Here is a 15,449-nt window from a genome sequence, read left to right on the forward strand (position 1 = left end):
ATCCTGACTTTTATAGTAATCACTTAGGAGGATTTTATTTTAATGGGACTAAAAAATGTAGCTATAATCACTAATGGTAAAATATTAGGCAGTTGAGGGATGCTTGTGGAAACCATGATAGGCAGCCAGACGTCAGCACACTTAAAATTACACCATTTCACACAGTTCCCCTCTGAGCCTATGCTTCATCTCTGCACACATCTTTATAAACATGCATGTATGTCCTGAAGGTGCTACCTCCATTCTGAGGGCTATGACTTATAACCCAGAGGTGCTGAACAGATGCTTGTAGGAGGAACGAATGGATGTTTAAAAAAAAATGAGCTGTTTCACACGTTCATCTATGCATTCTTTCAATATTTAATGAGTGCCTAAAATATACATAGATTCTAACCTATCTGTCCCTCTACATTCTATCATCATTCCTGTCCTCCCCTTCTCCTCGTCTTCCTCTTTTCCCATCTTATTTCTTTCTTTTCCTGTGGGACGGAGCTACAGTGAGTGCCCTGCAGGCAGGATTCAGAGATACAGGAGCAGGCCAGTGGAAACAGACACTATGGAAAGGAGCCAGATTAAATAAGGGCAAAAACAGCCGTATTACATGCAGGAACCAGAATGAAAAGCAGTGATTCACAGAGCACTGCAACTGAGGACACTCCCTTCACTTTGAGAGCTACTGCGGGATTGGGGTCAATGAGGGCTGGCATCAAGATGAAGGGCAGCCAGGCTCCTCCCTGGAGATGTGCTGCCCTTAATCCTTCTCTCCCCACCCCACCCCCACTACTCCCTCACATTGACCAGTGTCCTGGGCCTTTAAGAGTTGGATGGGCTGGACTGGAGAGAGCTCACACCTCTCCCCTTCTTACTGCTTCCCTCCGGCTATAACTTGCCAGTCACAGCAGCCAGCTGCTGTAGAAGAGGGGAGGAAACAAGCCAGTGCAAGGGGAGCAAAAGAGAAAAGGAGCCAGGCTGGGCTTCCTGATCCCACAGCATCGCAGAGCTCGGGAGGCACAGCTCACAGACACAGGAAACACAGGACTGCTATTCTGCTCTCCTGCCCACGGTAAGGATCTGGAAGCTCTGACTACCCTCTGCTCTAAGCTCTGTCTTCCCTGAGTCCCTACCTCTGCCCTCTAGATGCTTATCCACCCTGATTAAATTGTACCCTAGACTCCTTTCCTCATCCCAACAGCTCTACAGGGCTCCCACCTCCTGGTTCTCTCTAGCTTATCCTCCTTTATCCTTACAGCTTTCCTCCTGGCTGTGTCAGTCGCCCTTTATATGAGGTACCTCTTAGCTTATGCAGGGCCAGAAGTGCCAACCCTAGCCACTCCTGAGGTGAACTCCACCCCCAATAAGGGAAGAAAAAATTGGAGTAGCTAAGCTTTAGCATAGATTCATTAACAGTTTGTTGAGGGTTGCAAAATAGGGGTTGGCCAAGAACCATGGGGAATCAGAGATCCCTGGTAATAGAGAGAGTTATGAAAGTCCCTTAGAAAGTTCTCTAAAGAACTTGTTCTTTGCCTATTCCATGGGCCAGAGCAGTTTCTTAGTGCACCAGAGTGCTACGTTGGTAAGAAAACCTACTTCTAGTTCTGCCTGTGCCATTAACTAGCTACGGGACCTGGAGCCACAACTTCCAGATCTGTGATACGAGAGAGTTTAGGGTTTCCCAGACTTGCCTGTGTACCAAGTGTACTTGTTAAAAATAAATATATTATTGAGCCCCACCCTGGGTAACTCTGATCTGGTAGATTTTTGGGTAGGGCTAAGGATCTCAATTTCAAGACATTCCAGAGGCTATTGATGTAGCTGGGAATGTCTGGATTAGATGTGTTATAAAAGAACTGGCCGGGCGCGGTGGCTCACACCTGTAATCCCAGCACTTTGGGAGGCCGAGGCGGGTGGATCACGAGGTCAGGAGATTGAGACCATCCTGGCTAACATGGTGAAACCCCGTCTCTACTGAAAATACAAAAAATTAGCCGGGCGAGGTGGGTGGCGGGTGCCTGTAGTCCCAGCTACTCGGGAGGCTGAGGCAGGAGAATAGCGTGAACCCCGGGGGGCGGAGCCTGCAGTGAGCCAAGATCGCACCACTGCACTCCAGCCTGGGCGACAGCGAGACTCTGTCTCAAAAAAAAAAAAAAAAAGAACCTTCAAGCTCCAACATTCTGTGACCTGTGACCAGAGCCAATTTGTCCTCTATATGAACCAGGTTAGGCATAATCCTTCTCAGAAGCAAGGGAGTAGACAAAATGATTCTCTTCTTTCTTGCCCCTCAGAGAGACCTGAGACACCCTGAATCCCACTGTAATCTCCTTGGTGCCATTGGTAACTCTGCCAAAGTCCATCTCTAGGTGACATGAAGTCTCTTAGAAATTGAGGACCAAATTGCGCTCTGCAGCTCTGGGCTACTTCCCATCTCATTTTGTGTCCCTATTTTCGTATCTGTATTAGAGAGGTAATTACCATATCATTGAAGATCTCCATATATGTGTCTATGAGTTAATATTTAAGACCAACCTTTCTTATTATCAGATGTCATCCTCTGTGTTTTTCCCAGTGCCCTCACTCCCAAACCCTTTGTTCCTTCTCTTCTCATTGCACCTGCATCAGCTGTGGGCATCCTTCCCATTCTACCATTAGACACCAGAGGAAACAGCAAGACCTAGAATACCTAGGTTCTAACTCACATTGTCTGGGCAGTTTGTTTGGTCAATCTCCTAGGATACAGAGAAAAGTGAGGCTGAGCAGAGGGACACGCATGCTACTGAGTTCTGAACCCAAGTGTCCTCCCTTCTGGACCACAGTCTCAAAATTCTCAAAGGAGATGAGACTCAGAGCCATTGCGAATTAGTGGAGTCAAAAGAGGGAACCAACTGGAAGAGGTGATGGGGAGAAGGGATGAGGAGAAGGAAGAGAAGAGGAGAGACTGACCTAGGTGAGCAAACAGGAAGACAGAGGATTAAGAGAGAGAGAGAGGTGGGGATGGGGCTGGGCATGATGGCTCACGCCTGTAATCCCAGCACTTTGGGAAGCCCAGGCAGGAGGATTGCTTGAGGCCAGGAGTTTAAAACTAGGGCTACACAGGGAGACCCCATCTCCATACAAAACAAATAATAATTTAAAAAAAATTTTTTTTATAGTGAACTGGGAAGAAAGGAAAAGGACCAGGTCAGGCATGGGATAGGGAAAGGAAAGAAAATGAGATGAAAGAGGCTGGGCATGGTGGCTCACCCCTGTAACCCCAGCACTTAGGGAGGCTGAGGCGGGTGGATCATCTGAGGTCAGGAGTTTGAGACCAGCCTGGCCAACATAGTGAAACCCCGTCTCTACTAAAAATAAAAAAAATTAGCCAGGCGTGGTGGCACACACCTGTAATCCCAGCTACTTGGGAGGCTGAGGCAGGAGAATCACTTGAACCCAGGAGGCGGAGGTTGCAGTGAGCCAACATCATGCCACTGCACTCCAGCCTGGGCGACAGAGTGACACTCCGTCTCAAAAAAAAATAAATAAATAGAAATAAAGAAAATGAGACCAAAGAAAAGCAAGACTATTCAGAGTACAGAGGGAACAGAAAGTGATGGAGAGGAGAGACAAAATACCAATGTCCCTTATTGATTCCTAGCCTTGCTTCAACTGTTTTCTAGAGAAGGCCCTTTCCAAGAGCAGAGTCATTGTGAGATCCTTGAGCTGGTTGTATGGAGACCTGGGTTCTTTTTTTTTTCCTCCTGCCCAAGACAGAGTTTTGCTTTTGTTGCCCAGGCTGCAGTGCAATGGCGCCATCTCGGCTCACTGCAGCCTCCGCCTCCTGGGTTCAAGCAATTCTCCTGCCTCAGCCTCCCAAGTAGCGGAGATTATAGGTGTGCACCACTACTCCCAGCTAATTTTTGTATTTTTAGTAGAGAAGGGGTTTCACCATGTCGGTCAGGCTGGTCTCGAACTCCTGGCCTTACATGATCTGCCCATCTCAGCCCCCCAAAGTGCTGGGATTACAGATGTGAGCTACCGTGCCCGGCCAGAGACCTTGGTTCTAATTCCAGTTCTGTCACTCATTAAATGACTCTGGCACTAATTCTTTTTACTTCACCTAACCTTTCTAGTCCTCGGGCTCCTTTTCTATAAAATGAAGTCCAGCTCTGACCTTCTATGGCTCCCTGATTTGAAACTGGCCCTCTTATGACCACATGTCAGTCATGTGAATACAGATTTAAAATAGTGATTCATGAATGGGAGAAGGATTGGAAGAACAAAGCCAAGCTTTGGGGTTAGAAGAATTGGACAAAGGAGGAAAAAATAATTTTCTAAGGCAGGTTTGAGAGGAGGGAGTCTCCAAAGTAAGGGTGTTCAGGCACTTGGGCTCGGTTCTCAGGCTTCCCATGTTTCAGGACATCATTGTGAGGCTCCTGGACACAGGCGTAAGGGAAGGTAATGCAATCTTCTTGCAGTCCTAAAGTTCACCACATCCTAGAGTCCCTGTGTCCCAGAGGTGGGAGCTAAAATTCAGATAGGAGATAAGCCAGGATGTTGGCAGAAGAGGTTAGACTTCAGCCCCAGGCCAATTCACTCTCCTAGAGTCTGAGGACCTAAGAAATTTTTGTTGTTGTTTTTGAGAGAGTCTCACTCCGTCACCCAGGCTGGAGTGTAATGGTGCAATCTCGGCTCACTGCAACCTCTGCCTCCTGGTTTCAAGTGATTCTCCTGCCTCAGCCTCACGAGTAGCTGGGATTACAGGTGTGCACCACCACAGCCGGCTACTTTTCGTATTTTTAATAGAGACGGGGTTTCACTATGTTGGCGAGGCTTGTCTCAAACTCCTGACCTCAAGTGATCCACCTGCCTCAGCCTCCCAAAGTGCTGGGATTACAGGCGTGAGCCACCACACCCTGCTAGACCTAAGAGAGGTCTGTTGCTTTCTTTTCTTTTCTTTTCTTTTTTTTGAGATGGAGTCTAGCTCTGTCGCCAGGTTAGAGTGCAGTGGTGCGATCTTGGCTCATTGCAACCTCTGCCTCCTGGGTTCAAGCGATTCTCCTGCCTCAGCCTCCCTAGTAGCCACCATGCCCAGCTAATTTTTGTATTTTTAGTAGAGACAGGGTTTCACCATGTTGTCCAGGATGGTCTCGATCTCTTGACTTTGTGATCCACCCGCCTCGGCCTCCCAAAGTGCTGGGATTACAGGCATGAGCCACCGCCTTCGGCCAGGTCTGTTACTTTCTACTTCAGTCTTCACATAGCTTCTGTAAGCCTCAGATTCCAAACTGCATCCCCACTCAGAAAAGCAGAGATGATTTTCTGGCTCTCAGGAAACACTTTGGGTCCCTTCGTCCAACCAGAGGTTTCTTCTGGTCTCCTTCAGGCACACACATTCAGCATAAGCCAGCAAAATCTTTTCTTCCTGAAATTGTTTCCTGACAGACTTCTTCTCAACCTTCCCCTCTCACTCTGGATACCTATACATTACTACCCATTTAGAGAGGCTTCTCTAGGCGGGGCAGAGTGGCTCACGCCTGTAACAGCACTTGGAGAGGCCAAGGTGGGCGGATCACCTGAGATCAGGAGTTGGAGACCAGCCTGGCCAACACGGCAAAACTCCGTCTCTACTCAAAATACAAAAATTAGCCAGGCGTGGTGGCTCACAGCTGTAATCCCAGCTACTCAGGAGGCTGAGGCAGGAGAATTGCTTGAACCTTGGAGGCAGAGGTTGCAGTGAGCTGAGATGGTGCCATTGCACTCCAGCCTGGCGACAGAGCAAGACTCCATCTCAAAAACAAAAAAAAAGAAAGTCTTCTCAAGGTCTTGTATTCAGGGAAGCTGTATTTTCAGTGACCCCCCCACATTCTCCCTGAAGGCTTAGTCACTACTAGGTGACTTTATAGGGTCTTCCCACAAAAGAGACGTAGGGCACTAATAGGCTGTGTGACCTGAGGCAAGTCGCATCACATTTCTAGACTTCTGCTTTTTCATCTGTAAAATATAGGGAGTTGAACTAACTGCATGATGTTTTAATGGAACACTAACTGAATGATTGCTCTACAAATTTTTAAAGTTCTTTTAAGATGTGCACCACTGTCAAAATTTTAAACTTTTAAATTAAGGAACATGGCTGGGTGAGGTGGCTCATGCCTGTAATCCCGGCACTTTGGGAGGTCGAGGCGGGTGGATCACCTGAGGTCAGGTGTTTGAGACCAGCCTGGCCAACATAGTGAAACCCTGTCTCTATTAAAAATACAAAAATTAGCTGGGTGTGGTGATGGGTGCCTGTAATCCCAGCTACTTAGGAGGCTGAGGCAGGACAGTCGCTTGAACCCGGGAGGTAGAGGTTGTAGTGAGCCGAGATTGTGCCATTGCACTCCAGCCTGGGTAATAAGAGCAAAAGTCTGTCTCCAAAAAAAAAAAAAAAAAAAAAGCACATAACATTTTTCAGGTAGAGATACCCTTTAAAAAAAAGAAACTCACAATATACTTCTATTCAAATGTAGGTTCTTTGCTTACACAAAAGCATAGAGCTTTATGTTTTATGAGATTTGTCTGTTTCAGCACGACCTGGTCAAGAATGTTTTTTTGTTTTTGCTTTTTGAGACAGTCTTGCTCTGTCACCCAGGCTGGAGCTCAGTGGTGTAATCTCAGCTTACTGCAGCCTCAACCTCCTGGGCTCAAGTGAGCTTCCCACCTCAGCCTCCCAAGTAGCTGGGACCACAAGTGTACACTACCACACTCGGCTAATTTAAAAAAATTCTTTGTAGAGATGGAGGTCTCAATATGTTGCTCACACTGGTCTCGAACTCCTGGGCCCAAGCAATCCTCCCTCTTCAACCTCTCAAAGTGCTGGCATTACAGCATGAGCCACTGTGCCCAGCCAAGAATTGAGTATTTCTATAGGGGCATAGCTAGAATCAGTGTGGCCACATATCAAATTTTCTAGTCCTTTTCAAGGGAAGTTTGTTGTCAGCTACTAGGACAACTTAACCAGGTCCTATATTTCACAGCATATATCTTTTCTTCTTCTTCTTCTTTTTTTTTTTTTGAGATGGAGTCTTGCTCTCGCTCTGTTGCCCAGGCTGGAGTGCAATGGCGTAATCTCGGCCCACTGCAACCTCTGCCTCCCAGGTTCACACGACTCTCCTGCCTCAGCCTCCTGAGTAGCTGGGATTACAGGTGCACACAACCACACCCGGCTAATTTTTTGTATTTTTAGTAGAGACGGGGTTTCACTATGTTGGCCAGGCTGGTCTTGAACTTCTGACTTCATGGTCCGCCCGCCTTGGCCTCCCAAAGTGCTGGGATTACAGGCTTGAGCCACCGCGCCCAGCCTTTTGTATTTTTTTAGTAGAGACAGGGTTTCACTGTGTTAGCCAGGATGGTCTCAATCTCCTGACCTCGTGATCCACCCACCTCGGCCTCCCAAAGTGCTGGGATTACAGGTGTGAGCCACCGTGCCCAGCCTTTTTCCTCTTTTTATTGAGACAGAGTCTCGCTGTGTCGCCCAGGCTGGAGTGCATGGCACAATCTTGGCTCACTGCCAACCTCTGCCACCCAGGTTCAAGCGATTCTCCTGCCTCAGCCTCCCAAGTAGCTGGGATTACAGGTGCTTGCCACCATGCCCAGCTAATTTTTTTGTATTACTAGTGAGACGGGGTTTTGCCATGTTGGCCAGGCAGGTCTCAAACTCCTGACCTCTGGTGATCCGCCAGCCTCGGCCTCCCAAATTGCTGGGATTACAGGCGTGAGCCACCGCACCCAGCCAACAGCCTATATCTTAAAAGAGGTACCCTTTTTTGGTAGGTAGAGAAAATTTGAAAATGTAGTTCTGAGACTTGTGTAACTTATTTGGTCCATTAAAACTGTGAGAATAACTATAAAGGAAAGGTATAAAATATGCTTTACCATGTGAAGGTAGAAGAAGACAACTAAGTATTGTTAAAGAGAAAAAAGAAAGTCTGGCCGGGTGCAGTGGCTCACGCCTGTAATCCCAGCACTTTGGGAGGCCGAGGTGGGCGGATCACGAGGTCAGGAGATTGAGACCATCCTGGCTAACACAGTGAAAACCTGTCTGTACTAAAAATACAAAAAATTAGCCGGGTGTGGTGGCACATGCCTGTAGTCCCAGCTACTCGGGAGGCCGAGGCAGGAGAATCGCTTGAACTGGGAGTTGCAGTGAGCTGAGATTGCACCACTGCACTCCAGCCTGGGTGACAGAGCGACACTCCGTATCAAAAAAAAGAAAAAGAAAAAGAAAGTCTGCACTAGCCCCTCAGGAGCTGGACAGTCTATGTGGGAGCATAGATAGAGAGGACTCCCAGAATAGGGAAGCTGAAAGGATTCCACCTGGAAATGAGAAGGCTAGGGTGTGAAGAGATTCTAGTTTCTGAAAGGGACATCCAGCAAGATGTTAGTTCCTAATAATGAGAGGGTGGGGAGTGAGCAAAATGTGGCACTAGTAGACTGTGGGTTATTGGGTAGGAAGGGGGTGCTGGGCGGAATCTTTGGTTTACCCTTCTCTGAAGATAGCCATGGGAAATAGCAGAGGCTCTGGGATCAGACATATCTTGGTTTAAATTCTGATCCTTATGTGATTTGAGGCAGGTTTCTAAACCTATCTAAAGTGTCAGAGTCACTAAACTCAAAATTAGAAGCAAAAATCAGCTACAGACTATCTTCAAGATTCACCCAGAGCCCTTTGCTCTTCCTTGCTCCTTTAGGTGATCTGGTGCCAGCTGGTGGAACAGTGGGTGATGGCGTCCCTGCTGCAAGACCGTGAGTGCCGGGGCCCCTGCAGGGGAAGAGGCCTTAGTGTACAGCTCAGGGAAGGGAAGGAGGTTGGACCCCTGTTCCAGAGCTCTCCCTGGGCCTGCTACCCTCTCTGCTGGCTACCTAACCCCTGCTTTTCCTGACCTAGAGCTGACCACTGATCAGGACTTGCTGCTGATGCAGGAAGGCATGCCGATGCGCAAGGTGAGGTCCAAAAGCTGGAAGAAGCTAAGATACTTCAGACTTCAGAATGACGGCATGACAGTCTGGCATGCACGGCAGGCCAGGGGCAGTGCCAAGCCCAGCTGTGAGTGACCTGGATAGTGGGGGGTGGATACATGGGTGGATAGAGGCCTGAGGAGCCCGGCAGGGGAGGGACCAAAGTCCTACGATAGTGTGTGTTTGTGCTGTCCTAATTGTGGCTATATCTGAGCCTGTAAAAGGAGATCATAACAGTACTTGCCTCATAAGGCTGTTATGAGGATTAAATTAGTTATTGTATATAAAAGGCTTAGAAGAGTCCTGGAACATAGTAAGATGTAATAAATCATTGGTTACATCTTGTTGTTATTATAATAAGACCATGATCTTGGGCATCAGCCTGCCTGAATTAAAGCCCTGGCTCTGCCACTTTCTAACTGAGTAGCTGTGGAAAATCAAGTAGTTAAGCTATGGCTGGGCATGGTGGCTCAATGCCTGTAATCCCAGCAATTTGGGAGGTTGAGGCAGGAGAATTTCTTGAGACCAGAAGTTCAAGACCAGCCTGGACAACATAGGGAGATCCTGTCTCTATAAAAAATAAAAATAAAAAATTAGCTGGGTGTGGTGCTGTACGCCTGTGGTCTCAGCTATTTGGGAGGCTAAGATGGGAGGATCACTTGAGTCCAGGAAGTTGAGACTGCAGTGAGCTGTGATCACACCACTGCACTCCGCCTGGGTGAGTGAGACCCTGTCTCTACAAAAATACATATATACATACATACATACATACATACATACATCAAGCTTCAGTTTCCTCATCTGTAAAACAGGGATTAAACAGTACCTGCTTAGTAGGCTACAAGGACTCAATGAGTTAACATGTAAAACACTTAGCATGGGATGTAAAACCAGAATGCATTTAATGAATGTTAGCCATTATTTTATATATATATATATATATATATATATATAGAGAGAGAGAGAGAGAGAGAGAGAGAGAGAGAGAGAGAGAGAGAGAGAGAGAGAGAGATGGAGTCTCGCTCTGTTGCCCAGGCTGGAGTGCAGTGGCGTGATCTCAGCTCACTGCAAGCTCCGCCTTCCGGGTTCACGCCATTCTCTTGCCTCAGCCTTCTGAGTGGCTGGGACTACAGGCACCCGCCACCACGCCCGGCTAATTTTTCGCATTTTTAGTAGAGGCGGGGTTTCACTGTGTTGGCCAGGATGGTCTCCATCTCCTGACCCCGTGATCCGCCTGCCTCGGCCTCCCAAAGTGCTGGGATTACAGGCGTGAGCCACTGCACCCGGCCTATAATAAATATTTTTAAATACAAAAAATGCGGCTGGGTGTGGTGGATCATGCCTGTAATCCCAGCACTTTGGGAGGCCGAGGCAGGCAGATCACTTGAGATCAGGAGTTTGAGACCAGCCTGGCCAACATGGTGAAACCCCATCTCTACTAGAAATACAAAAATTAGCCGGGCTTGGTGGCGCGCACCTGTAGTCCCAGCTACTCGGAAGGCTGAGGCAGGAGAATCGCTTGAACCTGGAAGGCAGAGGTTACAGTGAGCTGAGATTGTGCCATTGCACTCCAGCCTGGGTGACAAGAGCAAAACTTGGTCTCAAAAAACAAAATAAAACAAAAAAAAAATCATAACAGTGTGCACTTATTGGCCAAACTCTTTATGATAACAAGACATAATTTGATCACAGGACACATCTAAGAGAGTCTGTTTTACAGACAAATTGCTCACAATCCATACCGCCCCCAGCTGAGGTAAGAGGGTGAAAGAATTTCTCTGGTTCCCTCGTAGACATCTGGAAAGAGGAAGCCCTCAAACCTGGAATGGGGGCCAGGCGTGGTGGCTCACGCCTGTAATCCCAGCACTTTGGGAGGCCTAGGCGGGTGGATCACGAGGTCAGGAGATTGAGACCATCTGGCTAACACAGTGAAACCCCATCCCTACTAAAAAAATACAGAAAATTAGCCGGGCATGGTGGTGGGCACCTGTAGTCCCAGCTACTCAGGAGGCTGAGGCAGGAGAATGGCGTGAACCTGGGAGGTGGAGCTTGCAGTGAGCCGAGATCGCGCCACTGCACTCCAGCCTGGGCAACAGAGCGAGACTCCATGTCAAAAAACAAACAAACAAACAAACAAACAAACAAACCTGGAATGAGAGAACTGGACTTGGGCATATAATGCTTTAGTATAACTGCTTCTGCCTTTCAAATGTATGTCCATTTGTCATCCCCATCAGTCCTCCTGTGATCACCATTGGGGCTGCCTATGGAAGGGGACTATCCATTGTATCAGATGAGGATACTGAGGAGTTAAGTCATTTTGGTTTGTGTCATACTGCCAGCTTGTGGCTGGAAGCCATGTCTTGCCACTTCCAGTACAGGCCCTTTGCCATGCTGCCTTTGAAAACATCAGTGATTCATGTGGACTCCTGAATCCCTGGGGTCTGCATCTCTCTGTACTAATGCTTTTTGGGATTCAGCCTGCAGAGGCTGGGGTTCTTTTCTATGGTGTCATGGAGAAGGGGGTGCTGGTCCTTCACTCTTAGCCCCTGCTATTTGTTGGAATCCCTTCCTTAATGCCTCCACCTGTTTCTTCTCTGGCAGTCTCAATCTCTGATGTGGAGACAATACGTAATGGCCATGATTCCGAGTTGCTGCGTAGCCTGGCAGAGGAGCTCCCCCTGGAGCAGGGCTTCACCATTGTCTTCCATGGCCGCCGCTCCAACCTGGACCTGATGGCCAACAGTGTTGAGGAGGCCCAGATATGGATGCGAGGGCTCCAGCTGTTGGTGGATCTTGTCACCAGCATGGACCATCAGGAGCGCCTGGACCAGTATCGGCAGGATGGAGTCAGGGTGGGGGTGAGGGATCACGCTATCCCTGAAGGAGCCAGATGCAACAGGTTTAGGAAAGGTGAGAAGGGGTGCAGGGCTAGGGAGGCCCAAGGGTCCAGATGGTATGGGCAGGGACAGCTCAGGCCAATGTGAGACTGAGAATACTGAGGGAGGAATGGATGCCAAGGATCACATAGCCAGGCAGGAATCAGGACCCCCAGGATTGGAGGAAGAGGCAGTGACAGGCAGAGGAGCAAACAAGATGCTGCTCCTAAGAGCTGCACAGAAGATCCCAGTGGCATTAACCAGCATGTAGGTGGGAAGCAACCTCTTAGAAGGCTCAGTGATATAAACTCACTCCAAGTTTCCTGGATTGTTTACCATTTCATTCATTTATTCATTCATTCATGATCTATTAAGCAGAATGTATCAGGCACTATGCCAGACTATAGGGGTACATATATATATATATATATATATATGTTTTGTTTTGTTTTGTTTTTGATACGGAGTCTTGCTCTGTCACCCAGGCTGGAGTGCAGTAGCACAATCTCAGCTCACTGCAACCTCTGCCTCCCAGGTTCCAGCGATTCTCCTGCCTCAGCCTCCTGAGTAGCTGGGACTACAGGTGCATGCCACCACGCCCAGCTAATTTTTGTATTTTTTTGAAGAGACGGGGTTTCACCATCTTGGCCAGGCTGGTCTCGAACTCTGGACCTCGTGATCCACCCACCTCAGCCTCCCAAAGTGCTGGGATTACAGGCATGAGCCACCACACCCGGCCAGTGGTACAAAGATTAATGAGACTCACATATTGCTTCAGTTAGTGAAGAGGATGGAACTGTGTAAATAATTTTTTGTTTGGCCTGTAATCCCAGCACTTTGGGAGGCCAAGGCAGGGAGATCACTTGAGGCAGGCAGATCACTATGTTGCCTAACCTAGGCAACACAGGGAAGACTGCGTCTCTACAAAAAATTAAGAAGTTAACTGAAAGACTACACTTTCAGGGATAATTTCTATAGTTCATTACTAGAGAAGTTTCTCTGAATGTGTAGAGCACCATAAAATACATTTTATTTTTTATTTGAGACAGGGTCTCACTCTGTCACCCAAGCTGGAGTGCAGTGGCACGATCTTGGCTCACTGCAGCCGTGACAGCCTGGGCTCAAGCAATCCTCCCACCTCAGCTTCCCGAGCAGCTGGGATTACAGGCATGTGCCACCGCACCTGGCTAATTTTTTGTTTTGTTTTGTAGAGATGGGATTTTGCCACATTGCTCAGGCTAGTCTCTAACTCCTGGGCTCAAGTGGTCCATCCACCTCAGCCTCCAAAAGTGCTGGGATTAGAGGTGTGAGCCACTGCACCTGGCTCATAAAGTAAACTTTAAAAAATTAAATTAGCCAGGTGTGGCCAGGTGCAGTAGCTCACACCTGTAATTAATCCCAGCACTTTGAGAAGCTGAGGCTGGTGGATCACCTGAGGCCAGGAGTTCGACATCAGCCTGGCCAACATGGTGAAACCCCACCTCTACAAAAAATACAAAAAAATTAGCTGGGCGTGGCGACATGTATCTGCAATCCCAGCTACTCAGGAGGCTGAGGCACGAGAATCACTTGAACCGGAAAAGGTTGCAGGGAGCCGAGATGGTGCCACTGCACTCTAGCCTGGTCGACAGAGTTAGACTCTGTCTCCAAAAAAATTTTTTTTCTTTAATTATAAAAGAATTTTTATTTATTTATTTATAATAAATAAATAAAGTAGCCAGGTGTGGTGGTGCACACCTGTAGTCCCAGCTACTTGAGAGGCTGAGGTGGGAGGATCACTTTGGTCTGGGAGGTTGAGGCTGTAGTGAGCCATGATTGCACCACTTCACTTCAGCCTGGGCAACAGAGCGAGACTCTGTCTAAAACAAACATACAAATGAACAAACAAAAAACAGCCAGGTGTGGTGGTGGGCGCCTGTAATCTCAGCTACTCAGGAGGCTGAGGCAGGAGAATCTCTTGGACCCAGGAGATGGCAGTTGCAGTGAGCCAAGATTTCCCTAGTGCACTCCAGCCTGGGTGACGGAGCGAGACTCTGTCTCAAAAAAAAAAAAAAAAAAAAAAAAAGCTAAAGGAATATGGACTTGTTTTGTTTTGAGACAGAATCTCACTCCATCACCCAGGCTGGAATGCAGTGGTGCCATCTCGGCTCCATGCAACCTCCACCTCCTTGATTCAAGTGATTCTCATGTCTCAGCCTCCCTAGTAGCTGGAACGACAGGTGTGTGCTACCACACCCAGATAATTTTTTTGTATTTTTAGTGGAGATGGGATTTCACCATGTTGGCCAGGCTGGTCTCGAAACTCCTGACCTCATGTGATCCACCCACCTTGGCCTTCCAAAGTGTTGGGTTACAGGCACGAGCCATCGCGTCTGGCCAGAATATAGATTTCTTTCTGCAGGCAACAGGGAGGTCCCTGCAGGTGCCTGGGCCATACAGTGACAAGATAGATTGGTGCTCTAGAGAGATTATTCTAGAAGCTGTGTGGAGAATGGATTGGCACCGGGGAGAGAGACTGGCAGGAAAGAGAGGGGAGAGATGTCAGTGGACGAAGGTGCACACACAACTGCACACACAAACAGATACATTAGTGCTTTTGCCTTGACTCATACCTGGATGGCTGAGCGATTGGTTTCAACGTGGAGACAAAAATCAGGATGGTAAGATGAGTTTCCAAGAAGTTCAGCGGTTATTGCACCTAATGAATGTGGAAATGGACCAAGAATATGCCTTCAGTCTTTTTCAGGTGAGTCTGTGGGGAAGGATTTCCAGCGGCCAACCAGGCCACATTTTCATTTGGCCAGAAGTCCTCTGACCCCAGTCCACAACACTCAATTGTTAAATCTCTGCTATGTGCCCTAAGTGCTAGGCTCAATGCCCTAGGCTCAATGGGAAGTATAGGGGATGATTCTTGCCTTTCAGTCTTGTTGAAAAGTCATAATTCGGCCGGGCGCAGTGGCTCATGCCTGTAATCCCAGCACTCTGGGAGGCTGAGGCAGGTGGATCACGAAGTCAGGAGATCGGGTCCATCCTGGTTAACACAGTGAAACCCCCGTCTCTACTAAAACTACAAAAAATTAGCCGGGTGTGGTTGCGGGTGCCTGTAGTCCCAGCTACTAGGTAGGCTGAGGCAGGAGAATGGTGTGAACCCGGGAGGCAGTGCTTGCAGTGAGCCGAGATCATGCCACTGCACTCCAGCCTGGGTGACAGAGCGAGACTCTGTCTCAAAAAAAAAAAAAAAAAAAAAGAAAAAGAAAAGTCATGATTCTATGAAAGGTAAATAACAATATGTTATTATGTTGGACCTCAAGGACCTCTCTGTCCATGGCCAGAATTTCACAGGTGCCTAGAACAATGGAAAACCCCAGCTGGAATGTGAGTAAATAGGAGGAGGGATCTTCTGACATTTTAGGGGCCTTTGGGAGATTTAATTCTTTCTAGTTGAAAATTTTCTCTAGTAGCAAATGGTATGGCTAAAATTTTGCTTCTTACTGAAGTGATTTATTCTATGAACACTAAATGTTTAGGAGTTCCGTGGGAGTTTTATGGAAGCATGTTTGGATCTATCTGTCTGTAAAATTGCTTTTACAGTGCAAGTCAAGG

The 15,449-nt window shown here is 47.8% G+C and overlaps 1 protein-coding gene and 1 pseudogene across 10 annotated transcripts in view; both read left to right on the forward strand.

Moving 5' to 3' along the window:
• The first annotated feature begins 891 nt into the window (after positions 1–891).
• PLCD4 (phospholipase C delta 4) overlaps positions 892–15,449 on the forward strand; it is a 29,277-nt gene continuing 14,719 nt past the window's right edge. For 9 of the 10 annotated variants that reach the window (XM_047446072.1, XM_047446075.1, XM_047446076.1 and 6 more), the window contains exons 1-5: positions 892–1,063; positions 8,700–8,754; positions 8,897–9,055; positions 11,572–11,800; positions 14,463–14,592. In XM_047446072.1, the coding sequence (XP_047302028.1) occupies positions 8,733–8,754; positions 8,897–9,055; positions 11,572–11,800; positions 14,463–14,592 (540 nt within the window). In that variant the 5' untranslated portion in view covers positions 892–1,063; positions 8,700–8,732. Of the gene's footprint in view, positions 1,064–2,183; positions 2,942–8,699; positions 8,755–8,896; positions 9,056–11,571; positions 11,801–14,462; positions 14,593–15,449 lie in introns of those variants that run through there. The other variant, XM_047446074.1, reaches the window with a different exon arrangement.
• LOC124906133 (uncharacterized) lies at positions 12,794–12,880 on the forward strand (annotated as a pseudogene).

The sequence above is a fragment of the Homo sapiens genome, chromosome 2, assembly GCF_000001405.40.
Source record: "Homo sapiens chromosome 2, GRCh38.p14 Primary Assembly".
In the NCBI taxonomy this organism is placed as follows: Eukaryota; Metazoa; Chordata; class Mammalia; order Primates; family Hominidae; genus Homo; species Homo sapiens.